General features: G+C 47.6%; 1 long non-coding RNA gene across 3 annotated transcripts in view, besides 3 other annotated features; it reads left to right on the forward strand.

Annotated features, from left to right (window-relative positions):
* The window catches only part of LOC105371024 (uncharacterized), a 116,308-nt gene that overhangs the window by 35,421 nt on the left and 53,514 nt on the right, over nucleotides 1-27,373 (forward strand). The window contains exon 3 of one of the 3 annotated variants that reach the window (XR_932728.2): nucleotides 7,576-7,676. The exons of the other annotated variants lie outside the window; for them this stretch is intronic. This is a non-coding gene — a long non-coding RNA (uncharacterized LOC105371024). Of the gene's footprint in view, nucleotides 1-7,575; nucleotides 7,677-27,373 lie in introns of those variants that run through there. 3 annotated transcript variants of the gene reach the window in all.
* Nucleotides 13,343-13,970: an enhancer, noted in NCBI's record as "H3K4me1 hESC enhancer chr15:101305027-101305654 (GRCh37/hg19 assembly coordinates)". NCBI's record gives its function as "activates a minimal SCP1, AML or CMV promoter by ChIP-STARR-seq in primed H9 embryonic stem cells {active_cell/tissue: H9 hESC(primed)}" and the evidence as "EXISTENCE:reporter gene assay evidence [ECO:0000049][PMID:30033119]".
* Nucleotides 13,971-14,598: an enhancer, noted in NCBI's record as "H3K4me1 hESC enhancer chr15:101305655-101306282 (GRCh37/hg19 assembly coordinates)". NCBI's record gives its function as "activates a minimal SCP1, AML or CMV promoter by ChIP-STARR-seq in primed H9 embryonic stem cells {active_cell/tissue: H9 hESC(primed)}" and the evidence as "EXISTENCE:reporter gene assay evidence [ECO:0000049][PMID:30033119]".
* Nucleotides 17,208-17,708: an enhancer, noted in NCBI's record as "H3K4me1 hESC enhancer chr15:101308892-101309392 (GRCh37/hg19 assembly coordinates)". NCBI's record gives its function as "activates a minimal SCP1, AML or CMV promoter by ChIP-STARR-seq in naive H9 embryonic stem cells {active_cell/tissue: H9 hESC(naive)}" and the evidence as "EXISTENCE:reporter gene assay evidence [ECO:0000049][PMID:30033119]".

Raw genomic sequence — 27,373 nt, forward strand, 5'->3', positions numbered from 1 at the left:
AGACACATATACCATATTAGAGATATATATATATGTGTGTGTGTGTTGTGTGTGTGTGCACATATATATATATGGAGAAGACAGAGGTGGGAGAGAGAGAGGGGGAAATAGGAAGAGAGAGAGAGAGAGACAGACTGACTTATTTTAAGGAATTGGCTCTCACATAACTGTGAGGGCTGGCATGTCCAGAATCTGCAGGGCAGGCTGACAGGCTGGAGATCCAGGGAAGAGTTGTCGCTGCAGCTTAAGTCCAGTGGCATCCTGGAGACAGAATTCCTTCTTCCTTGGGGGACCTCAGTCTTTGCTCTTAAGACCTTCAACTGATTAAACAAGGCCCATCCACCTTATGAAGGATTAATCTGGTTTAGTTAAAATCTGCTGATTTTTTTTTTTTGAGATGAAGTTTCACTCTTGTTGCCTAGGCTGGAGTGTAGTAGCAAGATCTCAGCTCACTGCGACCTCTGCCTCCCGGGTTCAAGCAATTCTACTGCCTCAGCTTCCCAAGTAGCTGGGATTACAGGCAGCTGTCACTACGCCCAGCTAATTTATTTTTTTTAATTAAAGATTGGGTTTCACCATGTTGGCCAGGCTGGTCTTGAACTCCTGACCTCAGGTGATCTGCCCGCCTCAGCCTCCCAAAGTGCTGGGATTGCAGGAGTAAGCCACTATGCGGACCCAAGTCTGGTGATTTAAATGTTAATCTAATCCAAAAAATACCTTTACAGCCACAACTAGACTGGTATTTGACCAAATATTCAGGTACTCTGGCCTAGCCAAGTTGACACATAAAAATAACCATCACATATATTATTTTTTAAAAAGTAACTTCTTCTCATTTCTGCATTACATTAAAGTTAGGGACTAGTACTGAATTTAAAAACTTTTTAAATGTGGTTGAGTTATGTTACTTGACTTTTATTTCAGGATAAAAACAGGGACATTATAAAGCATTAGTTATAAAGAGAGTATTTGGAGCATTGAGAACCTCCACCTTTGAGGAACTTTAGTCTCACCTACTTCTCCATCTCTTCCGCATGTTCAAGTTTCACAGTATTAAGTTGAATCCTATGACATTGCTGTTTTTTTGGTCAATGATGGTTGCATATCAGCAGTTTCATTATGGTTAATCTAATATATGCATGTACACAAATAGCAGCAGGAGTATATTAGGTGCCACTTTGTAAGGGTACAGCTCATCACATGCTGGTCACTCTGGGTGCCAGAATATTGACTTCCAGGATCCTTTGGTCCTCCAGTTCAATTCCCTCTCTGGAACAATCTCTGATGTGCTTTCTTGCTTGGGATTGAATAAAGACAATCATTGCACCCTATGAAATCAGCTAAACAATTGATAGATATGCACAGCAACCTATATTTAAATAGCACATGCAGCTCCCATTTAGACATTCCATTAGGTCTCCTCATTAGAACATCAATGAGGCCTTTAGCCAAGAACCTGTTTAGTTCTCTGGCTCATGGTTCTTCATCATGATTATCTACTCTGCCCCACAGCTAGTCTTTCACTTATAATTACCATTTATTGAGTGTCTACTTTCGTGATTTGCATTGTCTGTATTTCTGAAAATAGCAGAGTAGGGTAGATACCAGTGTTGCTTTTCTAACATGTAAGCAAATACTTATTGAGCCCACTCTGTCTGCTAGCTCTTTCAACCTTTGCCTTTTTAAAATATGATGCTTTAAAAATGATGCAGTAGATTTTGGGGACTAGAAGGGAAAGGGTGGGAGGGGGCTGAGGGATAAAAGACTACAAATTGGGTACAGTGTACACTTCTCGGGTGATGGGTGCACCAAAATCTCACAAATCACCACTGAAGAACTTACTCATGTCACCAAACACCACCTGTTCCCCAATAACCTATGCAAATAAAAATAAATTAATAAATAAATAAAATTTTATGCTTTAAGTTGGATCTTTATCAACCTTAGTTCTGTAGCTTTAACTTCCCTGACATATAAAACACTGCACAGATCTATTCAACAGTAGACATAACCCAAGTTAGTAGTCTGAAAAGATGCCCCATATAACAACTTGTGGATGATTTTGCATTTATCTTTGGATGCAGCAATGAACTTTATGGATGTGAGTAATGAATTTAGGTGTTCATGTGTACCCTGACTTTTGGTAGAAAATTAATGATCTTCAGATTGAGAGTTCGATAAAAAATTCTTCTCCTGTTAGTCAAAGAAGTTTTGTGGTGGTTATTTCCCAATATACAATTAAATTCCACCCCCTACCCCCATCTTACCCAGGGCTTTAGATATTTGAGTTCCTCTCCCCAACTATATCATCCCACTTGTATGTAAACTACATAGATAGTCCTTATATTTCTGGAAATCTTGACCATGAGAGTCTGGCATGAAGGATGGGGGACAGGCAACTGAGGTTTGAGTCTTTTCTGTATACCCTAACAAGTTCTATCCATGGATGGAAACGCTATACCTTCTCATCAGACATCTGTGGGCTCCTGAGACATCAAGAACAACTTTATTTTCTTTTGTTAACATTTTGTTAGAAAAGTCCTGAACATATCCAAATGTATATACAAGGTATAAAAAACAGCCATCATTGCATCTCAATAATCATCACGTCATAGCTAATACATAGCATCTCTAGCCTGCCCATTTTCTTTCCTTCCCCTGATAGGATTCTTTTGAAGCAAATCCCACACAGCAAGTATTTTAGTCTATAAGTACTTTAGCATTTATATCTAAAAGATAAGACTCTTAAAAAAAAACCATATTGCTATTATGAAATCTAAAAATTTTAACAATAAAAATGTCATATATTCTTATTTCCTGAACTATCTCATAACTCATTTTTACAGTTGGTTTGTTTGAATCAGGATTCAAATAAAGGTCACACATTTCATATGGATTGATGAGTCTCTTAAGCATCTTTCCCATCCCCCTTAATTTTCCTGTTGAAGATCCAGGTCATTCATCCTGTGGAGTTTGTCAGATTCCGGACCTTGCTGATTGCATCCCTATGGTGTCATTTAACATGATCTTCCATCTGCAGTGTTTCTTATAAAATGGTAGATCTGTGACTTTATAATAAACAGGTTGGATTTTTTTTGGCAAAAATACTTCATGGGTGGTGGTGTGTACTTCTATCAGGAGACACATAATCTCTGGTTCTCTCCCCTTCTGTGCTATTAAGATGGATCAATGGTTTCAAATATTGTTAGCCTGATCCATCAGTTATTAAAATTCCCCATCAGCTTTTTGCCTAATGGTTTTAGCAGACATTGATGACCATTAGAGGTTTCAAAATGGTGATCTTCCAACTTTATCATTCCTTCTCCACGTGTTAACTAAAATACTTCTACAAAGAGAAACTTCCTCTCACCAAAAACTTTGTTACCCTGAGGCACAGTTCCTTCAGGGAAGGCCAGATAAATGTTTAATTTTTTCCCCTTTGTTTACAGATTTCAGAATAATAAACTGGCATTCCATTAGCCTTAAAAGTTAAAAATGAGTTTGGCGTCTGTCTCATGTTTTTTTGCTTATCATTATGAACTCACGGATTAGACATATTTATGTGTTTTTTATGCTTCAATGCATTGTAACTGCTGTTCTTGATGCTCATATTGTACTACCTTTGGCCAGTAGGAGCCTTCTGCGGTCCTACAAAGAATCCCTTTGACCCAATAGCAGCCGTCCATGACTGTGTACATGTTCTCAGATTTGACAAGATGATCCAGGTTTATCTTGTGTATTTCCTGCTCCACACCTGGATCCAGACATTTCTTCAAAGAGCCTGATTTCTTTTGGTGAAAAATGGAATTTAGAGACCAAAATCGAGGCATTTGTGGTGTTTATCACTCGTCGGCTGATCATTGTTTCTAGGCCTTTGTGAACAAATGGAACAAGGAAATACATTTTTCTTAAAGGAAACACATTATGAGTTTATTCTGATATCTTCAGATTCAAATTTAGTATTACAAAGATTTTACATTGGACCTCTTTTATTTAAAATCTTGATTCCTAACATTTGTACGGTTATTTACTTCATGTTAGCATATACATAAGCTTGAGAACATCAATTCCCAAATGATTTCTAGCAACATGATTAGTAACAATTAAGATTTCTTTGCAGTTACTTTTTTTGGTCATTGGGGTATACCGCACTAGAAATGTTCCATAGAATTACTGTGTTTTAAAATATACCCCTCTGTATGGCTAGGACATTAAGTCAATACAGAGACTTATTTCATTAAATCTGACTTTTTATTTTCACAAATTACTTTATAAATGTTCCTCATATTTCACTTTATGTAGAACATTTATATTGCACAAAAACAAAAGTTTCTCTTTAAAAATGTATTCTTCAATTGTTTTTTCTTCACAAAATGATATATTCTGGAGATTGTCTTTAGCAATGCATAGAGAGAGTCCTCATTTCTCTTAACATCTGAATAATTCTCCATTGAGTAGAAGTACTATAGTTTGAACACTAACTTTATATGATTGTATTTGTGGACATTTTAATTGTTTCCTGTCTTTTAATATAACCATGCATGTTTAAAAAACATTTTGGGAATATGTATTTGTAATAGATTTCTAAAGGGAGATTTCTGGATCAAATGCTTGTGTAATTTTGCTAAATATTTCAAAATTTCTTTTCATAGTGTTGAATAATTTTTTCTTACTCCCACCAGCACTAAGTTTCTCATCAAACTTTTGGATTTTTGTCCCTTAAATGTAAGAATAATACTCATTATAGTTTTCATTTAAATTTCTCTTATTGTGAAGGTGGTTAATCAATGTGCATGTGGATGAGGGCTATTTGCATTTTTTTCTGATATATCTGCTCATAGCTCTGGCTTATTTTTCTATGAGATTCTTAGTCTTTTTCTTCTCTCTTTTAAGAAACTCTTTCACAATCTATTTTTCCTTTTTCATTTATTTATGGTGTTTTTGTTTGTTTTTTTTTTCATGCAAAAGTTTTCCTCTGTTTATATGCTGTCAAATTTGTCAGTCTTTTCCTTAATTGCTTCTGGATTTTCAGTCATAGTTTAGGAACATTTTTCCCCCACCCTGAATTATCAGTAATTTATTCATTTTTTATTTTATATGATTTCTTATTATTCCATAATATTAAATATTTAATCTCTGAACTAATAAGAAGTTATCTTTGTATACAGGGTGAGAAACAAATCAGTTTTCTCTTTTTTTTCTGTAGCTATGCAGGTATTATTCCAGTGCCACTTATTTTAAAAGTCTATTTTTTCTCCACTGATTTGAGATGCTTCCTTTGGTGTATATTAAATTTCCATGAGCGGTTGAGCCTATTTCTGGATTTTTCTATTCTGTCCCATCAGTCTGTGCACCAGTTCTATACTGTTCTTTTAAATGATAAAAACTTTGTAATATGTTTTAATATTTGGTAACGCTAGTTTCTCCACATTGTTTTTTCAGATTTTCCTGGCTATTTCTGCTTGTTTGTGCTTCAATTAAACCTTTGAATCAGCTTGCCTAGCTCCAGAAAAAAAGCCATAATATTTATTGAGAACATGCCAAATTTATAAATTATTTTAAAATAAATTGATATCTTTTTGATGTTCAGTCTTCCTATCTACGAACATGGTATATCTCTCAATTTCCTTAATTACACTTTTGCATCTTTCACAAAAGTTTCATATTTTCCTTGAATAGGTTGCACATTTCTCATTAAGTTTACACTAAGGTCTTTTTTCTCCCTATCAGAAATGAGATCTTCCCTTTTATTATTCCTCCTAGATGGCCTTTGTTTATAGATATGGAGGCTTTGGCTCCTGTTTATTCATTTCATAGCCTGCTATTTTACTGAATTGTCTTATGGTTTGCCTTAGCTTTTCCAGTGATTATTTGGGGACTCTCCTAATATATCATCATATCATCTACACAGATTTTTTTTTATTGTTATTGTTTCCTTTCAAATTGATCTGCTTGTAGTTATTTCCTCTTTTTCTTTCTTTGGCTAATCCCTCCAATACAACTTTATACAGTAATGATGATAGTGAACATCTTTGCCTTGGTCCTGATTTCCTGATTCTATTTGCTTAGATTTTCTTTAACATTTTCCTATCAATGTTAGTGAGTGAGATTGGTCTGTAGTTTTACTTTTAGTTAAACTCTTTGTCAAGTTTTCAAACCAGTAATACTCTTGGCTTTGTAAATAATTGGAAGTTTCCCTCTTTTCCTGTGGAGTGGAGTAATTTGAGAAGCACTGAGAAATGATTTGGACTTGATGCCCTTTGGGGGCGTCTAGGAGGAGCTCTAACTATTTTCTCTATCACTTCTATGATCATTGGTCTGTTCAGACTTTTGGAAGAAAAGACTTTAGAGGAACTACTTCTGAAGAGTTGTTACTTGTGGGAATTGAAGAAAGAAATGCAAATATTCTTTGTAGCTCAGGAACCATGGAAACTGGTTTTATTGGAATATGACTTTGCTTTTATGCCTCAAACACTTAGAAAGAAGGAATAGTTTTTCCTCACAACTTGGTGTTAGTACTTCTTGGAATTAAAATGTCATGGAGAATATGTTATGAAACAGATAGTGCTCTGTAAGTCCCATCTTTTCTTGGGAACAAATATTAATATGAATTCCTATGTATGTATTACAGGAAAGCTGGGGCTCCAAAGAGCACCAAGTACATACTTTTCTTTCTTTCTTTTTTTTTTTTGAGACAGAGTCTCGCTCTGTTGCCCAGACTGGAATGCAGTGGCTCAGTCTTGGCTCACTGCAACCGCTGCCTCCCAGGTTCAAGTGATTTTCCTGCCTCAGCCTCCTGAGTAGCTGGGATTACAGGTGCCTGCCACCACACCCAGCTAATTTCGTTTTTGTATTTTTAGTAGAGACGGGGTTTTACCGTGTTGGCCAGGCTGGTCTCGAACTCCTGACCTCAGGTGACCTGCCCGCTTCAGCCTCCCAAAGTGCTAGGATTACAGGAGTGAGCCACAGCCCCTGGCCACAGTAAATGTTTAATGAATGTTCTTTTTTTGACCGGGAATCTGACTCTGTCACCCAGGGTGGAGTGCAGCAGTGCCATCTCAGCTCATTGCAACGTTTCCGCCTACCCCGGGTTCAAGTGATTCTCCTGCCTCAGCCTCCAGAGTAGCTGGGATTAGAGACACCTGCCACCACGCCTGGCTAATTTTTTTTTTTTTTCTATTTTTAGTAGAGATGGGGTTTCTCCATGTTGGCCAAGCTGGTCTCGAACTCTTGACCTCAGGTGACCCGCCCACCAAGGCCTCCCAAATGCTGGGATTATGGCCATGAGCTGCCACACCCGGCCTGTATGCTTCAACTTCATGTCATTTCAGGAGTTAAGTAAATAGATCAATGTTTAATTTTGTTTAAAATCTCTAGTAGAGTTAATAATGCATTAAAATTATGATGATTATTTTTGAACTCTCTTGTTGACATTTGCCAAATTAGGATAGTTTAATTATTTGGGGTTTGCAATTTTGCGCTGAAAGGCACATCATGGGGTTTAAGTGCCGTTTCTGTTTTACTCTTAAGAGATCACAATCCTCCACTCTTACTCCTCACTTGCTTTTTCTCTAGATAATAATTTCCACTAGAACTTTGGGGAGCTCAGCAGATGCAATTGGATTTTTTTGTCCAAACTAATGACTTGTTTCTGGAAAGAAAACTGTTACCATCAACGGGATTCTTTTTCTTTTTTAAAACATTATACAGTGTTTGGTTCAGGCCAGCGGTGTGGGATGGGATTTAGTCTCCGGATTTGCCAAGATGTTTATGCAGCAGGAATGTTACTTATGTAAGCCTGGAAGCGCTCCTGATGTGCTATAGCCTCCTCTTCCATCACAGCTTTTTTTCATTAAGAAGTTGATCTTCCTTTCATGATACCACATTAAGTGGCTGAAAGGAAAAGAAAAAAATTGTTTACTGTACTAAATAACCTAACTCTCCGCAAAGCATCCATTTGGTTAAAGGAACTGCAAGGAGCTCTGGAAAACGGGGCTGAGAATTGTTTTGATGCTCTCAGCTTGGCCCCTCACTCACTTCCTGTTGCTCTCTAGTTGCAATCAAACTCATATGTGGGAAAATAGAAAATGCTTTTAAAAGAAAAGAAAGATGAATTCACAAACAAGCAAAACACCCTCTTTTACATTTTTTCTGGGGACTGAAATTTCCATGTAATGGAAAAGTGTCAAATGAGAGAAATCATCAACGCTAAACATGAATGAAACACAAATAAAAGCTATATGTGAGAAGCTAAGGAAGAAAAGGGTTAAACTCACCCTGCCACAGATGAGTAAATATCTACATGTTTATATAACCAACCAACAAACTCACTGAGAGCAAACAGGACATTGTGAGGTGAAAACAGAGCTGTGAAAGTCGGACACTCCCAGCCCTCCCGGCTTATCTCATCCTCTGCTTTTCTGTGGATGCTGCCCTATGAGTCAGACGAGATGAGAAACTTTAATCATTCTAAGCAGATGTGTATCAGCACTCTCTGATAAAAGCATGCCAGCACACTGCACCAGTCTGTATCGGCACCCATCCTCCAACAAAGCAATGGTCCCTCAACCAAGACGGTAACAGCTCAGGTTAGACTAGCCCAGCGACCCCTCCCTGGGCTGTTCTGTGACATCAGCAGTGCAGAGACGGAGATTCTTCGCAGAGGGTCCTAGGCTGGGCTTGAAGCATCAGTAGGTGTTTACCTTCTGCCCGTAGCTGTATGAACTTTCTGAATGTTGGAGGTGTGCTGCTACGTTGACGTGGTTTTCACGTGTGGGCAGTGAGTGAGGCTAGGGCCACAGTCCTGAGAAGTGGCCTCTTGCTTGAAAAAAACTGTCATTTTCATTGGACAAGAGGTGCAGCCTCAGCCCAGAAACATCATGGGGGTGGGAGTCCCTATTATTTCTTCCTTAATTATCTCTCCAACTAATATTGAGCAGCTAGATACTGGCAGGGCTGCCACATACGGCTGTGCAAGCTGCATACTGGACAAGGGTGCTGTATCCGAGACATTATTCCCACGGTAGCTGTCATAGATTTGCATGTTTATTGTGTTGATTTTCTGGAGGACACCAGGAAAGTACCTTGAATCAGGAAGTCCTGTTCCCAAGTTTCATAAAAGAGCTATATGTGCTTGAGGGACTGTGTGCACAGGGCTGGGTGTGCAGATCCAAAGATGCAGGGGAGCACAGGAGCCTTCCAGGGTTCTGGATTTTGTTGTATGTGCACCAAGGCCAAGGGGGCTAGGTGGCGAGGACCCTGCAGGATCTCCTGGGATCAAGGAAAGAGGAGGACCCTGGCCTCCCAGGACCAGGCCCCTAAAACAAGTCATATATATTGGACAGTCTGTTGAGTGGCACTACCCTATAGAAACACAACGTGAGCTGTAAATACCAGCCACGTGTCATTTCAAAGCTTCTGGTAGCCATATTTTTAAAGTGAAAAGAAACAGATTCTAATGTATATATTATCTATTATGTTAGATATATTAGATATACATATATCTAATATATATTATGTTATCTATATATCTGATATATATCTAATATCTAAGATATTATTATATATAAAAATACATATATAAATTTTGGTACAAAGTCTTTGAAATCCAGTGTGGATTTTACACTCTCAGGACATGCCAATCTGGACTAGCCACACTTAAAGGGCCCGGTTGCCTGCTGTATCTGGTGGCCCCCAGCTGCTTGTACATCTCTGGAGTCTTGCTAGCTACCATTTGAATCCTCTCTCCAGCTGAGGGTGCAGCCTCCCTTCTTGGAGCAGTCTAAGCCTTGGGTCTCTAAAGGGCCAAAAGTGTGGATGAGTGTTGGGGGTCCTTGGGCAGCCGCACCCAATGGTGTTGTGGGGCTCAAGCAGGTGGGTGCTCCTGCCCACCCCTGTGCCACACCCTGAATCACTTCCCTGGTCAGCCCCGGGGCCTGGGTGTACTTGGTTGAGTAAGTCAGCACTTTTGGGAGATGCAAGGCAAATAGAAACCCGGGACCCGGTGCTGTTCTCATCTGAGGAAGAAACCACCACAAACCACTCTTTAAGGAGCCACATGAGTGAGCAAGTTCAGAGACACAAGCAGCCACAGAACTGCGTGGCCTCCCTCCAAAACGCTAATGACGATGGTGGTCACAGTGCCATGACCACAGTTCCAGGCGTGGTGCTCGGCACTGTATCTGATTTCCACAATGCACACCAGCTCCTTGGGAGGTAGATCTTAGCACCCTGCCTTGTGAGGAGGAAGCAGAGACTCAGAAAGACAAGTGTATTGCTCAGGGTCTCATGATCCAGGCAGGGAGGCTGGCAAAGCCTCCACAGCGTCTGCTGCCTCTTCCGGGTCACCAGCAGCTGGACATGAATAGAGGTGTTATTTACACGGTCCAAAACGTTGGCCAAATCCACTGGGCAGGGTTGCCTTGGTGACCTGTTGTCCCATAGAGTCTGGCATCATTGCCAGAGCCTGCAAAAACAAAGTTAGACTGAGGTTTAGATGGCTTCGTGTGGAAGCTTCCCTGCTCATCCCTACATGTGGCACAGTATCCTGAAAGAGAAGAGCCATTGGAGTCTGTTTCAATTCTTCTCTGGGTTCATTTGGGACACTTGGGAGCAGGTGGAAGGTGCCTTGTCCCTGGCCAGGTGTAAGTCAGATCTCAGCTGTCACCTGTGAGGGCAGCCAGGACGTGGGACGGGCTTGGAGAGGAAGAGAAAGGAATGTGGGGTGATGAGACAAAGGAAGAAGAGGAGAGAGAGAGAGAGAGTGTGTGTTTCATGTGTGTTTCAGAAACAGATTGACAGTGTCAGGAGCTGAAAGAAGATGAGGACCAGTCAGCGCAGGGAGGCGAATTTTGAGAAATACCCAGCGGAGTGCTCTGAGTTGAGGCTTAGAGAAGAGACAAAAGGTTTGCAAAGCAGAGAAAGTCAGGGATTCGAACTGTGGGTGGGTGGCCCTGGGGTAGAGCCAGGGCGCCTGGGTGCAGAAATGTACTCCATGCAAGAACTTTCTGGCGGGCACAGTCGGAGGAGGGGCTGCCTCAGCAGGATGTGTTCCCCACCCCCGGAGGTGGATAAGTTTGCGCATAGTCACAACTTGGCGTGGATTACATGGACCTGGAGCTCAACGAGGTGTCCTTAGTGGGATGGAGTACTGCCTTCAGCAAGACGGCAAGAACAAAGACAAAGAGGATGCTACAGTGAACCTGGAAAGCTCTAGGTGAATCTTTTTATGAGTTTAAAAAATAAGAGTCTGTGTGATGAAAATTACAAGCCACTGATGAAAGAAATCAAGGAAGACCTAACGCATGGAGACACGTCAGGGTTCATGGATTCGAAGGCTCAGCACGACAGATGTCTCTTCTACCCAAACTGACGGCAGTTTTAACACCATTCCTATCAAAATCTCAGCAAGGTTTTTACAGATACAGACAAGCTTATTCTATAATATATATGAAAAAGGAAAGGCCCGAGATAACAATCTCTGACAGAGGAGAATGAAGTAGGAGAAACCACATACCCGGTACTGAGACTTACTACAGAGCTATAGAAACCAAGCGTGGTGCTGGCAGAGGGCAGACACACACATCAGCAGCACCGAATGGAGGCCCAGCGCTTGACACTTCCTGACCTGTGAGTGTTGACCCATCAGATGAGTTCCGGAGTCTCTTCCCCCCCTCTCCTTGCCCTTTATCCCTGGGGAAGTCCAGTGCTGACAGGGAGCTTCCATGCCACCCTGGCATGGGACAGGGGCCATCTAGGTGGCAGGCCAGCCTTCAAACCTCTGCACATCCTCACTGAATGGGGCCCCCACTCCATGTCCTCTACTGCCAACTCTTAGCCATCTCCACCTCGCTCCTAGGAGCCCCAGAAAGCTGTGAGTGCCCCCCAGGCCATTTCAGCTCTGCAGAGGACAAGTGCCACCCCACCTCTGTCCCAGTCTCCTCCAGACCGTGTCTCTCCAGATGGCCACCAGCCAGGCCACAGAGTCTCAGAGGAAAAAGGGGGTCCAAGTTCCTCTGCCTTGGCATCCCTCAACCTACCATGAGGTATCTCTGACCCCTGGAAAGTGGGGTGAGTCATCCCACAGTGCAGGGCCTGATCCTGGGGCCTCTCAGTCAGCAGGAACCCCCCTGTCATCCTATCCCACACTCTTCCCTCCTCTTCTGCAGGAAGTGCCAGATGCCTTTGTCCTCTCAAAGCTATCATCCTTGTGTGTGCTTCTGAGAGCAGGATTGGACTCCATGGGTCGAGGCTTCCCCTGCAGGCCTCACTGGGCTCTTCCGGGTCTCCCTTCCCTGAGACAGTCAGCCCCAGCCTTGAGTCTGGCTGGAAGGGAGGAAGAGCTACAGGCAAAGAGGAATGACTGACAAGGGAGCCTGTGGGGTGGGGGAACGGCTCCTCCAGCTTTAGTCAGCAGCAGCTCCCTCGTGCCTTCCTCCCAAGGGACCTGAGGAGCAGATGACCATCCCGGCTTCCCCGGCAACGGGACAGATGTGAAAAGGCCACCTCTCATATGCCTTCAAGAGGTTGCATCCAGGCAGGCAGTGGGTGCTAGAGGGGTGAACAGGCCTCCCGGCAGGGGAAGAAGTCTGGCTGAAGTCCCCTGGGCAGGAAGAGGAGCTGACAGTAGGCCAGTGGGGCCCAGGCAGCACAAAGTGTGAGGAGAAGCCAGGGGCAGGCAATAGAGCCTTTGTCTTCATTTTGTGGTGTTTTTCATCTCACTCACTGAACTTGAAGTGAGAAGTGGCCGGTGTGGAGGCCTGGCTCGGGCCTTCCCTTCACCCCCAGTTCCTTACAACTCACACTTGACCCATGGGGCCATGGGGGCTTAGACGTGGAGCCCACCTGGGGAGGTGGGCCTTACGGCCCCTCTTTTCTTGCTGATGAGGAAATGGAGGGATGGGGTGCCGAAGTGACCTGGGCAAGGTGGACCCAGCCCTGTGTTCATTCCTCTTTCCTGGTATCAGCTGCCTCATTTCCTTGGGGTGTCAACCCCATCACGATTGTATTCTATCGCGTGGTTCTGCAGCCTTGCGTGGATGCCTCCACTCAGGAGAAGGATGTGAGTGAGGCTGAAATACTCAGCACAGTCCAGCCCGACTGATGTGATTAGTTTGGAGACAAACACGCGGCCTAGTTCACTCGGTAAGCAGCAGCCTCTGGGCTTGTTTGCAGCCGCTGATGTAGCCCAGGAGCTGGTCAAGGGCTGCTCCTTGGAAGGAGCTGCCTGAGAGTGAAGCCAAAAGCCAAAGAAAGCTGAGCTAGAGGATGACAGACAGCTTCCTGGTGACACTGTTAGAGCATCTGGATCCAGCTATACCTGAAGCTACACCTTAAACATTTTAATTACATTCATCAATGTTTCTTTTTGCTTAAGACGGTTTGATTTGTGTTTATATTATTAGAACCTCACAGGCTTGTCTAATCTAGCATCCCCGGGCCGGCCTCCTTTTCCTCCTTCTCCCCTTGGCCAGTATAAAGAATGAAGCTTTCTGGAGCCTGTTCACAGCATGAAGCTCTTCCACTCACCTGCAGCCTGTAATTAGGGGCCTGCTGGCTGAGAGAACCTCATTCCCTTTTGCAGCCTCTGGATCTACAGCTCTGCAGTTCCACCAACAGTATCAGCCTCAATGTATGTGAGACACACTGCCAACGCCCAGAGCCCTGTGCTCAGCCAGTCTGACCTCCAGGCCCTCTAAACCCTGCAGGATGAGGTACTTGTACCCAGAGTGTACCTCCCGCACTGTGCGGTGTGGCTGCCGCCCATGGCCCCAGATCTCTCCACTGCCTTGGGGGAGCTCTCAGGCCTGCCAGGGCTGAAGAGCTGTGAACACACATCGCTGGGGGGTGGAAGGGCTGTTTTTTCCAATGGCCTTTTCCAAGCCAGGAAGAACTGAAATGTGAGCTCCCCCTCCTTTAACCACAAGCAGAGCTGCCAAGGCAGTCAGCTCCCTCCTCCTGTGTGTGGTGGGAGCCCGTATGGGCACAGAGCCACAGCAGTGGGGAATGTGATGGGGCAGAGAAGCGGAAGGCACCAGGGGCTTCCTGTGGTCGAATAATGAAAAAACACCCCAGATAAGCACTGGGGTTCCACGACACCACCTTCTGGAGCTCTCAGGCCCTAGCAAAATAATTTCACATCTGTAAACCTCAGTCTCTCAATCCATAAAATGGACATACAAATCCCTCCTGCCACGGTCACTGAGAGGAAGAACGGGATGATTGGCAAGAGGGTGTGACATGGCGCTGGCACGTACTAGATGCTCAGGGAGTTGCGGTAGCTGTAGCAATCGTCCCGTGAGGCAGGTGCCTTTGTTGCCCCATTTCACACAGAAGAAGGCAGCAGCTCGGTGGGCAGCTTGCCCAAGGGAATGGCAGCGGTTCTGGTCCCTGTGACAGCGACACCCAAGGGAGCTGGCTTCAGTGGGAAGCAGCCTCTGAGGCCGGGCAGGGAGCAGCTGTTATTGGTGGCCCCTAGGGTAAGAACTGGTCCCGCATCCCTTTGCAGAGGTGTGGCTCTGAGCCCCTCCATCGGGGTCTGGGGCAACACGGGGCAAGGGGACTCTCGGAGGAGAGGCACCCCGTTCTGGGAAGAGGGGGGATACGGGCCAGGGGAGGCTGGTTCCCGGGGCTCCCGGGCTCACCACAGATGCTCTCTGGAAGCTTAGGGGCGTAGGGGGCTGGGACCGTTTCTGGGGGCCTGAAAGCTGCTCTACAAATGAAGACAAACTGTCTAACTCAGGTGAGAATCAAGACTTTGAGAGGAGGGAAAGTCCAAGAAAATCCCTGAGAGCCCCAGGACATGTGCTGTTGGGTGAAATAATTAAGAAAACCTGCCCGATCTCCCACGGAGACAGAAATCATCCCCTGCCGCTCCGGGCTGATCCTCACCGTCCAGCTCCTAATTCTTCACAGCTGTCCCTGTGAGACCACTGGAGGGGGGTGGGGACCAAAGCGTGAGGCCGGAAGCAAAGGAGGGAGTGGAGGGACAGGCTCAGAGAGATACGGGAGGAGGGGGAGACGGCAGTGCAGAGACAGACAGAAACAGAGAGGCAAGGGAGATGGATGGCGAGGGACACCCAGCATGAGACAGAGATGGTGGGGGGTGGTCAAGAGAGAATCTGATTGACTTAGGAGGCCTTGTGACCGGCCAATTAAGAGGATTGTGGAAATTAAGAAGATCAAGTCAAGGTCTGGGAGTGTGTGGGCTGGGAGACCTTGGCCTGGTGCCAACCTAGACCCCATTCCCTGGGAGCTGCAGCAGCTCCAGGCAGGCAGGCCCTGGGCACTGGCCCTGGATCCCACCTCTACTCTCCCCACCTCAAAACCACCCAGAGGAACCTGGGCGCATGTACTGTGTTCTCTCAGACAGGCACAGGGCTGGGGCACCCCATCCAGGCTTCACTGCTTAACCTGCAGATGAAGGGGTGAGGTCGGAGAGGGAGTGAATGGCTTCCAGACCCCCCAGAGGGAAGCACATCTCTCCTGGCCAATGGCCACAGCTTATGGGCCAGGCTGGGGAGGGTCCTGCGGGCGGGTGGGCATTACTCCTTCCCTCCTGGAGACCTGAGACATTGGAAGGTCATTAGGAGACACAGAAGCCAAAATCCCCCTGCCCCTGTTCTGGAAAGAGCTGGTCCTGCCTTGCCCTCAGGATCAGGAGGGAAATGAGGGGCCTGCTCCCAGCTCCACTGAAAGTCCCTGAGGGGAGGCCTTGCAGCCCCATTTTACAGATGAGGGAGACAAGCCTCACAGGGGATGAGGGTCTCGGCCAGCATCTGTCAGCTGGTGAGAGGAGGGCCAGAAACTGGAAACCAGATGCGCTGTCCCCCCTCCCTTCCCTCATCCTTGTCCCCCCACTTCCGTCCTCCTTTCCCCTTCCCTCCCTTTCTCCTTCCCTCCCTTTCTCCTTTCTCTCCCTTCCTCCCTCCATCTTTCTCTCCTTCCTTTTCTCCCTCCCTCTCTCCATCTCCCCTCCCGCCTGCCCCCATTTACTCATCGTTTTCCCCACACTCATTTGTTGAGTGATGGGAGGGACAGACACAGAGAAGGAGGAAAGAGAAGGGCCTGGGCTGCCCCCGTGTCGGCTGGCCAGTCCGCACGGACTCCTGCTGAGGGCACCCTGGTAATAAGGTAGTAAAGTAAAGTGGCCTGAGTAAGTCTCTGCTGCTCCACATCAGAGCAGTCCCAGCTGGCTGAGGGAGCAAATCAGTGGCTCTCGGGAGCAGTGAGGGCTTGAAGCACATCACAGCCAGCATGCAGTGGAGACATCCAGGGCCCTGGCCGGCCCGAGGACCTGGGCTGGACCAGTCAAATCCTCCCACCTCCTCTTTCTCTCTGGAATCTGAAGCTGAAGCTCAGAGAGTGGCAGGTCCCAGGGTGGTGGTTTTGGTCCCATGGTGGTGGTTTTGGCCCCAGGGTGGTGGTTTTGGTCCCAGGGTGGTGGTTTTGGCCCCAGGGTGGTGGTTTTGGTCCCAGGGTGGTGGTTTTGGTCCCGTGGTGGTGGTTTTGGCCCCAGGGTGGTGGTTTTGGTCCCGTGGTGGTGGTTTTGGCCCCAGGGTGGTGGTTTTGGTCCCATGGTGGTGGTTTTGGTCCCGTGGTGGTGGTTTTGGCCCCAGGGTGGTGGTTTTGGCCCCAGGGTGGTGGTTTTGGCCCCAGGGTGTTGGTTTTGGCCCCAGGGTGGTGGTTTTGGCCCCAGGGTGGTGGTTTTGGTCCCACGGTGGTGGTTTTGGCCCCAGGGTGGTGGTTTTGGCCCCAGGGTGGTGGTTTTGGCCCCATGGTGGTGGTTTTGGCCCCAGGGTGTTGGTTTTGGCCCCATGGTGGTGGTTTTGGTCCCAGGGTGGTGGCGTTTCTGGAATTCTGATGTAGGCCTTCAAGTTCAGATGACCTGTGTTTGAACCCTGGGTGCACGTGGACCAGTTCTGTGGGCTTCTCTGGTCATCGGTTTTCTATAAAATGAGGATAATTAGAGCCACCTTGGAGGTGAGTGAATGAGAGTGGAGGCAGGGCTCGTGTGTGTCATGCGGTTCCTGAGCCTCCCTCCCCATCAGCCTGGGGTGGGAGGTGAGGCTTCGTTACCTTGTGGGCACCAGGCAAAAGGCTGCAGAAGCCTGAGGGTAGAGGCAGATAAGGGACATCCTCTGAGTCCTCAGGGCCACAGGGACAGGACCTGCCACCCGGCAGTGTCCACGAGACAGGAGTGAGTGGGCTCCTCTTCCAGCCCGGGAGTTAACGGGACCTGTGGAACCCTTCCTGTCTTTGCAAATGCCAGGTGTTGCTTCCTGATGGTCCCTCCTCGCTTAGGGAAGCCCCTGCCCACAGAAGGCCACTCAGGGAGAGGCCCTGTTTGTGTGTCTGTGTGTCCAGGAGCCAGAGGTGCCAGGGGTGGGATGCAGAGACCTGCCCGAGGCCTCACCCTCCACGTAGCCAGGCTTCCTCCCTCTACCACCTTCCCTGGGAGGTGGAAATGAGGGTTGTAAGGGGATCCAGCTCCTTCCTCTTCACTTTATTGCTGCCCTAGGTGTTTACGCCCCATGCAAGTCCTGCATGGAGGCATTAGGTCAGCTGTTCAGCCTAGGCCTTCCAGCCAAGTGCATTATAGCACTGCCCTCCTGGGATGGCAACAGCCACCCAGCCCCTCCACAAGTGGCCACCCCCACACGTCTCGCCCTCCCAGGGGCTGTCAGAGTGACCCACCCAGTCTGTCAGATTTTAGCCCCAGGTGCAGCGACCTCCCCCTACTGTGGGCAGGAGGCAACTCCGCCCCAGATCCCCAGGTCTTCTGTGGTTGCCCAGAGCCCCAGGGAGCGATGGTGGCCATCCCTGAGTGGGGAGGCAGGTGGACCCGAGCACCGACCAGCTCCTGAGAGCAGTTGCAGTTGCAAGTCCATAAGGGCCGCCCTCAGGCTGTGCCGGGACCTTGCTCTAGGGGCCTCGTTGGTTCTCATGCAGTCCTGGAGTTGGAGACTAAAGACAGCTCCATATTACTGAAGATACAGCAGAGACACACAGCAGGTGAGAAGCGTGTCCTGGGTGGGTTTCCTGAGGATCTGCCATCATGAGTGGAAAGCCCTGGCAGGGTACGGGACCCTAACAGGAGAGAGCCATTGTCATGGCCCCTACACAGCTGACCTAGAGCTGGACAGGAGCTGGATGGGGCCTGCTGGAATAGGCTGAGCAGCAAAACAGAACAGAACAAGCAACCCATACTTGGGAGAGCCTTCGTGACTCCACAAACCCCTCTTTTTCCCACAGCCTCTGTCTGCCTAGAGGTGCTGGGCCACGCACAACTCTGACCATGTCCAGCCCTGTGAACAAAGGACCCATGGCCATCTGATTCCTGGCCAGCCCAGCCTGGCACACAGGGTGGGGCTTCTCTGATGCCCCATGTGCCGCTCCATTCTGCTGGAAGCTTACTGTGCTGACACACACTCATCTGTGAAGTGCTGGAGTTTTGGAGAAGTCCCTCTGACTGAGCTGTGATCATTTAGCATTTGGGAAAAATGACCAAAGCAATCATGGGTGGGTGTGTTTCATCTGCCCAAGACAGAAACCCCATTCTAAACCTGGCCGGGTTGAAGCAGGGTTTTCACCTGCTTACAGACTCCGCCCCAGCCTCCAAGATGGGTGGGGACATCATTGCATCTCTGCCCGTTGCCCAAAGGTGACTGGGCCAGGAATGGACAGGGAACACTGCTGGACCTATCAGAGGCTTCCCCAGGATTTTTAACCTGGGACCAGAGCTGCCAGGGCCAAGCCCTGAGGAGGGAGACTGTCCAAGAAAAGTCAGCCATTCGGGAGGAGAGAGGAGAGTCCTAGTGGGGTTGGAGAGCCTAGTTGTTGTTGTCCTGGAAAAAAGAAAGAATCCTGATAAAAGCAGTTTTAGTGAAGTAAAAATGACAATAGGAGAGAGGGACTTTGTTCCAACGCTGCTTCATGAAAAAATGATCATGAAATGAAATGACCATGACGGAATTAGCTCTAGAAGATATTTTCTTCTCCAAAATAGCCAATATTGAAACAATTTGGGCTAATGCTTTTATATTCATAAACATAGAGTCAAAAGCCCTCAGGGTTGAGATGGTGGATTCAAGATGTCCTAAGTTCAGTAACTGAACACTGTCTCCCTGCTGGACCTCCCTCACTCCTTCCCACCCTACTGTGCCTCTGGAACCTTTAGCCTGTAGGATTTCTTACAAACTCTTAATATGCAAATAGCACTTATTCTTAACTTAAAAATCCCTTAAGTAAGACTACTTGGCAACCCATAGTCAGCTTCCTTCAAGTCACTTTATGTTCTTGAAAGTAATCAAAAGTAATCCATTGCAACTGCTTTAAAATATTTTAGAATTCCAATTTCCCCCGTCTCTTCCTTCCCTCGGGTTGGCCAGCTTCCCAGGATTCTGTCCTATAAAATTAAGTTAATGATATCTTCAGGATCAGCATGTCTTTGTCTCTAAATGTGGGAGTGTGTCTCCTCCAGGACTTGCCTTGGCCAGGCCTTCCCCTCCCACTCTGAGCCCCCTTCCCTCCCCGGGCATGCAGCGCAAAGCCAAGGAGCTGGCTCAAGAGTAAAGAGTGGGCACCTCATCCTTGCTCTCTGGGGCTTGCTGCATGGACCTCTCTGCGCATTCTGGGTCAGGGGTGGCATGCATCCAGCATGCCTTCGTTGTCTGAGGCAGCTCCAGGCAAGGAGAGATGTAGGATAACTCAGCCAAGAGGTGGCCTTTCTTCTAGGCAGCATCAATCAGCCCCATTGCCCTCTTGGCAGGTGCTCCATAAATGGTGCTTCCGCAGTTCCCTCCCTCTTCCCAGGTGTGGAATGGCCCCAGGAAGTCAGGCCAGGGAACCACAGGCACAGCCTCCAGGTGACAGCTACAGGCTGGAGGGCCTGCTTTCTGTCTCTGGCCTCTTTTCAACAGCTTATGAGATTTTCAAATGTCTCCAACTGACCCTCCCCACAAATGACATTTATGAAGGACACACAGGGCTGGGTGCGGTGGCTCACGCCTGTATTCCCAGCACTTTAGGAGGCTGAGGTGTGCGTATCACGTGAGGTCTGGAGTTAGAGACCAGCCTGGACAGCATAGCGAAACCCTGTCTCTACTAAAAATACAAAAATTAGCCAGGCATGGTGGTGCATGCCTGTGGTCCTAGCTACTTGGGAGGCTGAGGCAGGAGAATCGCTTGAACTGTGGAGGCGGATGTTGCAGTGAGCCGAGATCACGCCACTGCACTCCAGCCTGGGCAAAACAGTGAGACTCTGTCTCAAAAAGAAAAAAAAGACACACAATAGGCTGATGACTTGCCTTATTGTCCTGGACTCAGACAGGCACAGAGACGGAGAGGAAGGGAGGGAGGGAGGAAGATCTGAGACTTGGAGATGGGCCCCAGTCCAGTAGGCTGCTTGAGTGAGACCTGGGAACCAGGAAGCATCCCTGGGCCGTGCTTAGCCAGAGAGCCAGACAGCTGGGCTGCAGAGCTGGCAGGGTTGGCAGGGTGAGTACAGTGGAAACCTTCCTAGACCTTGTCAGCCACAGGACAGTGTGTGCTCGCTCCCTCCCAACCTGCCCCATTAGACATCTGTGTGGTGGGGCCGCCTCATTCCTGATCATGAGAGAATGCTGTTAAATTTGCAGAAATCTTGTGATCTGCTTGTTAAATGCAGCTTTTATTAAAAAAAAAAGAATAGTAAGCTTACAATGAGATAAGGTATATTAAAAACAATTGTATTAAGAGCAAAGGTATAACTCAAAACTCATCAAACCCATCGCTTTCTACTTATTTTACTCAATTTTACTATTGAGTTTATGTTTATTTACAATCTATCTGGTGTTTATATGGTGGAAACACCATATAATATGTACCATATAATACTGCATACCTCTCCCCAACCTCCAATGATGTCAGGTTGGTGAGATTGTTTATACCACAGAAACTCGCAAATACGATAAACCAGGGGCTTCAACCCCCAACCCGCCCCCAACTCCCACACTGCTGACTCCCTGGTCCCCGAGTGCTTAAATTTGCTAATGTATGTTACATAAACAAGATAAAGCACAGGCAATACTTAGGGCAATCATGCTCCCCAAACTTTCCAGGACAGTTTCAATTTAAATATTCTGCCTGCGGTCAAACTGCGGGACCCAATCAGGTTTCAGAGCCAATGTCAGCCGCAGGGAGGCCACCTGGAAGTGAGTGCCTGACACACAGACTTTCACCCGTCTCTTCGCCCCAGCCTCACAGCACCAGACCCTCATTTCATTAATCTCCCAAATTTAGGTCACAGATATCTCAAATTACCTCCTTATTTACAGACATCAAGATCTAATGCTAAAACCTGGAGAGGGACAGAACCAGTCTGTTCCAGGGCCAGACTTGAAAATAAATAATAATAAAATCCCCAAGCCTTAAGATGTCCATTGCCTGAAATACGCAGTTTACAGCTTGAAATTCAACTGACTCACAAACCACACAGCTGGTGACCCTCCCCACCTTCCCTCTCAAGCTAATTGAATTAAAAAAAAAAAAGTACTTAAAGAGGCCTGGTCTGTCCAAGAAGTAAACTCCATGTACTTCCTCTCCCCTGGGCTGGAGGCACACTTGGCCACACAAGGCATATAAAAGCCCCTTTTGGAGAATTGCTTGCTTCCCACATGGCTTCTGCAGTCAGTGTAATTTAAGAAACACACAACTCACGCACCCAGCTTTGGAAGTCACAGTGGGTATACACCTGAGAGGGAAGCCGGGGGATGGAGGGGTGTTTTTTGTCTGTGTTTAAGCCCCTGTGCTGGCTTCTTGAGATTCCCAATACTTTCCACACACACAAAAGGTTGATCTATGCACTCAGGGCAAAAGGCAAGTCATGCATTCCAAAGGAAAGCGCACAACATAAAATGCTATCGGGAACGGACGGGAGGGTTTGGAAGGAGTCACGTCAGAATGGTAACCGTGTTCATCTGACACTGGTAGGGTTTTCTTCTGTATAGTTCCCTGAATTTTCCAGATGGTGTATGGTGAAGAGATCTGGCATTTCTTTCTTTTTTTTTTATTTTTTTTTATTTTTTTTATTTTTTATTTTTATTTATTTATTTATTTTTTTTTTATTGATCATTCGTGGGTGTTTCCCGCAGAGGGGGATTTGGCAGGGTCATAGGACAATAGTGGAGGGAAGGTCAGCAGATAAACAAGTGAACAAAGGTCTCTGGTTTTCCTAGGCAGAGTGTGTGTGTCCCTGGGTACTTGAGATTAGGGAGTGGTGATGACTCTTAACGAGCATGCTGCCTTCAAGCATCTGTTTAACAAAGCACATCTTGCACCGCCCTTAATCCATTTAACCCTGAGTGGACACAGCACATGTTTCAGAGAGCACAGGGTTGGGGGTAAGGTCATAGATCAACAGGATCCCAAGGCAGAAGAATTTTTCTTAGTACAGAAAAAAATGAAAAGTCTCCCATGTCTACCTCTTTCTACACAGACACGGCAACCATCCGATTTCTCAATCTTTTCCCCACCTTTCCCCCTTTTCTATTCCACAAAACCGCCATTGTCATCATGGCCCGTTCTCAATGAGCTGTTGGGTACACCTCCCAGACGGGGTGGTCAGGCAGAGAGGCTCCTCACTTCCCAGTAGGGGCGGCCGGGCAGAGGCGCCCCTCACCTCCCGGACGGGGTGGCTGGCCGGGTGGGGGGCTGACCCCCACCTCCCTCCCGGACAGGGCGGCTGGCTGGGCAGGGGGCTGACCCCCACCTCCCTTCCGGACAGGGCGGCAGCCGGGCGGAGGGGCTCCTCACTTCTCAGACGGGGCGGTTGCCGGGCAGAGACGCTCCTCACCTCCCAGACGGGGCGGCGGGACAGAGGCGCTCCTCACATCCCAGATGGGGCGGCGGGGCAGAGGCGCTCCCCACATCTCAGACGATGGGCTGCCGGGCAGAGACGCTCCTCACTTCCTAGATGGGATGGCGGCCGGGACGAGGCGCTCCTCACTTCCCAGGTGGGATGGCGGCCGGGCAGAGACGCTCCTCACTTTCCAGACTGGGCAGCCAGGCAGAGGGGCTCCTCACGTCCCAGACGATGGGCAGCCAGGCAGAGACGCTCCTCACTTCCCAGACGGGGTGGCGGCCGGGCAGAGGCTGCAATCTCGGCACTTTGGGAGGCCAAGGCAGGCGGCTGGGAGGTGGAGGTTGTAGCGAGCCGAGATCACGCCACTGCACTCCAGCCTGGGCACCATTGAGCACTGAGTGAACCAGACTCCGTCTGCAATCCCGGCACCTCGGGAGGCCGAGGCTGGCGGATCACTCGCGCTTAGGAGCTGGAGACCAGCCCGGCCAACACAGCGAAACCCCGTCTCCACCAAAAAAATACGAAAACCAGTCAGGCGTGGCGGCGCGCGCCTGCAATCGCAGGCACTCGGCAGGCTGAGGCAGGAGAATCAGGCAGGGAGGTTGCAGTGAGCCGAGATGGCAGCAGTACAGTCCAGCTTCGGCTCGGCATGAGAGGGAGACCGTGGAAAGAGAGGGAGAGGAGGGAGAGGGAGAGGGCTTATCGCATTTCTTTCATAGTTAGGGTCGGGGAAAATGCTGTTTGCTTGCTTGATTTTTTTTTTGAGACAGGGTCTCACTCAGTTGCCCAGGCTGGAGTGCAGTGGTGCAATCTCGGCTCACTGCAACCTCCACCTCCCCAGTTCAAGTGATTCTCCTACCTCAGCCTCCCAAGCAGCTGGGATGACAGGCGTTTGCCAACACGCCCAGCTAATTTTTGCATTTTTAGTAGAGATGGGGTTTCACCATGTTGGCCAGGCTGGTCTTGAACTCCTGATGCTTTGGCCTCCCAAAGTGCTGCGATTACAAGCGGGAGCCACCATGCCTGGCCTGCTTGCTTGATTTTTAAGGGGAGGCCGCTGTGGTGTCCTCTCTTTTCTGAGTGCCTCATGGGCTGGGGTCACTGGGTGTTTTCCCAAGCATACCCGCTGGCTCCGTGTAAGCCCCTAGACTCTGTTTATTGCTTGAAAAGCAACTGTGAGGGAGTTATGGGGCACCTGGCCCTTTTATACCCTCCTGCTCTGTGAGAGGGGCTGCGGGTACCACGACTATCACTGTTATCGTATTTTTCTCCTTTGCTAACAGCTATTCTGCGATTCTGCTTTTTCTTCATTCCGATCTAATTTGATTGGAGTATTAATATGCTCAGCAAAAATACACTCACTTTTCCTGCCTCTCTGGCAGCTCGTTGGCCACGTGGTCCAGATCCGGGGATGAGATCAGGTGATAAGCTCGGCTGGAGCAGCCCTTTGCCCACTGTCCCCCTCCATCCTGCCTGAAAAGTGTCCAGTTCTGCACTTGTCAGCTGCTCCGTGGCAGAGCGGGACCTGCCCTCATCCGAGGGCACAACCAGTGGTTGTGTTTCCCGAGAAGAAAGAGTCTTCCCTCTAGATGAATTCAGCTTCTGGCCAAAAGGATAGTACTTTTCTGGCTTCTCACTTCTGGACTTTGTATTTCCAGGGCTCCTAGGACTGAGAGCCTCCCCGGACACACACAATTGCTGAAGGTCCTTCTAACTGCTCAGATTAGGCCTCCTTAAGTCTTCTGAGGTTGGGGGCACAGAGCTCCGGGACATGCTCCATGAACAGGGGACACCCTTCTTTGATTCATTCTTTCCTTCAGCAAATGCCTCTGGCCCAGGCAAGTTTCAATGCATGAACAAGGCAGTGTGCATGCTCATGGAAAAGCAAAATAGTAAACACACAAGCAAACACAGACATAGCGATTTCAGGTCATAACAGTGAGGTGAAGACAAACAGTAGTGGGATGGAGTGGCCCTCTTAGCTCGTGTGGTCAGGCAAGGCATCGTGCCTTGTGATAGGTGACCAGGGACCCTATCAGAGTGAGGTGGTGAGCAATTTGAAAGTTTAAGGGGAAGACATCGGGCAGTGGAGACCAAGTCCTTAGGCCCAGAAGCAGAAAGCAAATAGTAGTAAATGCATTGTGTAATACGCTGGACATTATTTTTAGTGGCTTAATTTTTTTTTTTTTTTTTGAGACGGAGTTTCATTCTCATTGCCCAAGCTGGAGTGCAGTGGTGCGGTCTCGGCTCACTGCAACCTCTGCCTCCCTGGTTCAAGCAATTCTCCTGCCTCAGCCTCCCATGTAGCTGGAATTACAGGCGCCTGCCACCATGCTCAGCTAATTTTTTTTTTTTTTTTTTTTTGTATTTTTAGTTGAGATGGGGTTTTACCATGTTGGCCAGGCTGGTCTCGAACTCCTGACCTCAGGCGATCTGCCCGCCTCAGCCTCCCAAAGTGCTTGGATTACAGGAATGAGCCACCATGCCCGGGCTAGTGGTTTCAATATTTTACCTATTTAATCCTCATAGAACCCTAAGAAATGGTACCATTTTAATCCCCATTTTATAAAGGAAGAAACTACAAACCGGAGAGGCTAGGTCATTTGCCCAAGGCCACACAGCAAAACAACAAGCTATCACTTTTTTAATTTCATAGATCCTACCACATGCAGTGGCTTATGCCTATAGTCCCAGCAACCTGGGAGGCTGAGACAGGAGGATCACTTGAGGCCAGGAGTTTGGGAGCAGCCTGGGCAACATAGCAAGACCACATTTCTACAATTTTTTTTTTAATGAGTCAGGCATGGTGGCATGCAACTGTAGTCCCAGCTAATCGGCAGGCTGAGACAGGAATATCATTTCAGCCCCGGACTTCGAGGTTGCAGTGAGCCACGATTGCACCCATGTACTCCAGCAAGAACAACAGAGTGATACCCCGACTCTATAAAAACAAAATGAGCTATCATTCTTTGTTTCACGGGTCCAAATACTGGATTCTGGGGTAATAAACATTCAGTCCTTCCTCTAAAATCGTAAGAACATAGCTCAGCCTTTTATGTCAAGGAAAATCATATCCCACTGTTATCTCCCTGGGAGCACGGTGATGAGATCAGTCCTATCTTGCCACAATTCCAAATATTGGATGCCAACCAACAAAACATAAGTCCATTATTTAACCCTATTAAAACCTCTCAGTCAGGCGCGGTGGCTCACACCTGTAATCCCAGCACTTTGGGAGGCCGAGGTGGACGGATCACAAGGTCAGGAGCTTGAGACCACCCTGGCCAACATGGTGAAACCCCGTCTCTACTAAAAATACAAAAAATTAGCTGGGAGTGGTGGCACGCATCTGTAATCCCTGCTACTCAGGAGGCTGAGGCAGGAGAGTCCCTTGAACCCGGGAGGCGGAGGTTGCAGTCAGCTGAGACTGTGCCACTGCACTCCAGCCTGGGTGACAGAGCGAGACTCCGTATCAAAAACAACAACAACAAAATCCCCTCAACTATGTGGGCTGATTGGGTGGGCAACTATCTGGGAATTTAAAAAGTCTGAATCCTGGAATTTGTTGAGAGTGCAACTTTTTTGCCTTTTAAAAGAACAATTTTATTGTGGTATAATTCACATAACATTCAATTTACCCATTGAAAGTGCACAATCCAGTGGCTTTTAGTCTATTCACGGAATTGTACATCCATCACCAAATTAGAGAACATTCCATCACTACAAAAACAAACCTCATAGCCATTAGCAGTCACTCCTCATTCCTCTCTGCCCCCAGCCTTAGGAAACTATGAATTGTTTTTTATTTCTATGGATTTGCCTATTCTGGGCATTTTACATAATTGGAATCATACAATATTGATCATTCTGTGTCTGGCTTCCTTCACTTGCCATCGTGCTTTCAAGGCCCATTCATGCTGCAGGATGTATTGGTACTTCGTTCCTTCTTACTGCCAAATAACACTGCATGATATGGATGGACCCTATTTCATTTCTTCATTCATCATCGGGTGGCGTCTAGGTTGCTTCCACTTTTCGCTGTTGTGAACAGTGCTGCTGTGAGCATTCACGAACAGGTTTCTGGGTGGACGTCTATTCTCATTTGTCTCGGGTATATCCCAGGAGTGGGATTGCTGGGCACATGGTAACTCCACGTTTAACCGACGGAGGAACTAGGATGCAGCTTCATATTCTCAAGACATTTCCTGCCAACTACTGCACTTACACCTGGGCAGTGCCCTTGACACCAGCCAGGAGAGGGCGGGGCATTACGTCACACAAAAATTGGTTGGCTTTCCCTGGCCACCTCCTTTAGATGGTCAGAAACATCTTTATTTACTAGCAAATTAGTGGGGATGACAGGCTCTAATTCAGGTCACTGTATTGCTGGAAAGTATTTTGAAGGGCTGGCATCGTTTTGCCTCCTTTTGAAGTAGTAAGCCTACACACACACACAGAGCACCTCTGGGAATTCAGACCCTTGGAATGAACTATGTGGCTTATTCTTGGTGAGAGGAGAGAGTCAGATGGATG

The sequence above is a fragment of the Homo sapiens genome, chromosome 15 (genome assembly GCF_000001405.40).
Source record: "Homo sapiens chromosome 15, GRCh38.p14 Primary Assembly".
Taxonomy (NCBI): Eukaryota; Metazoa; Chordata; class Mammalia; order Primates; family Hominidae; genus Homo; species Homo sapiens.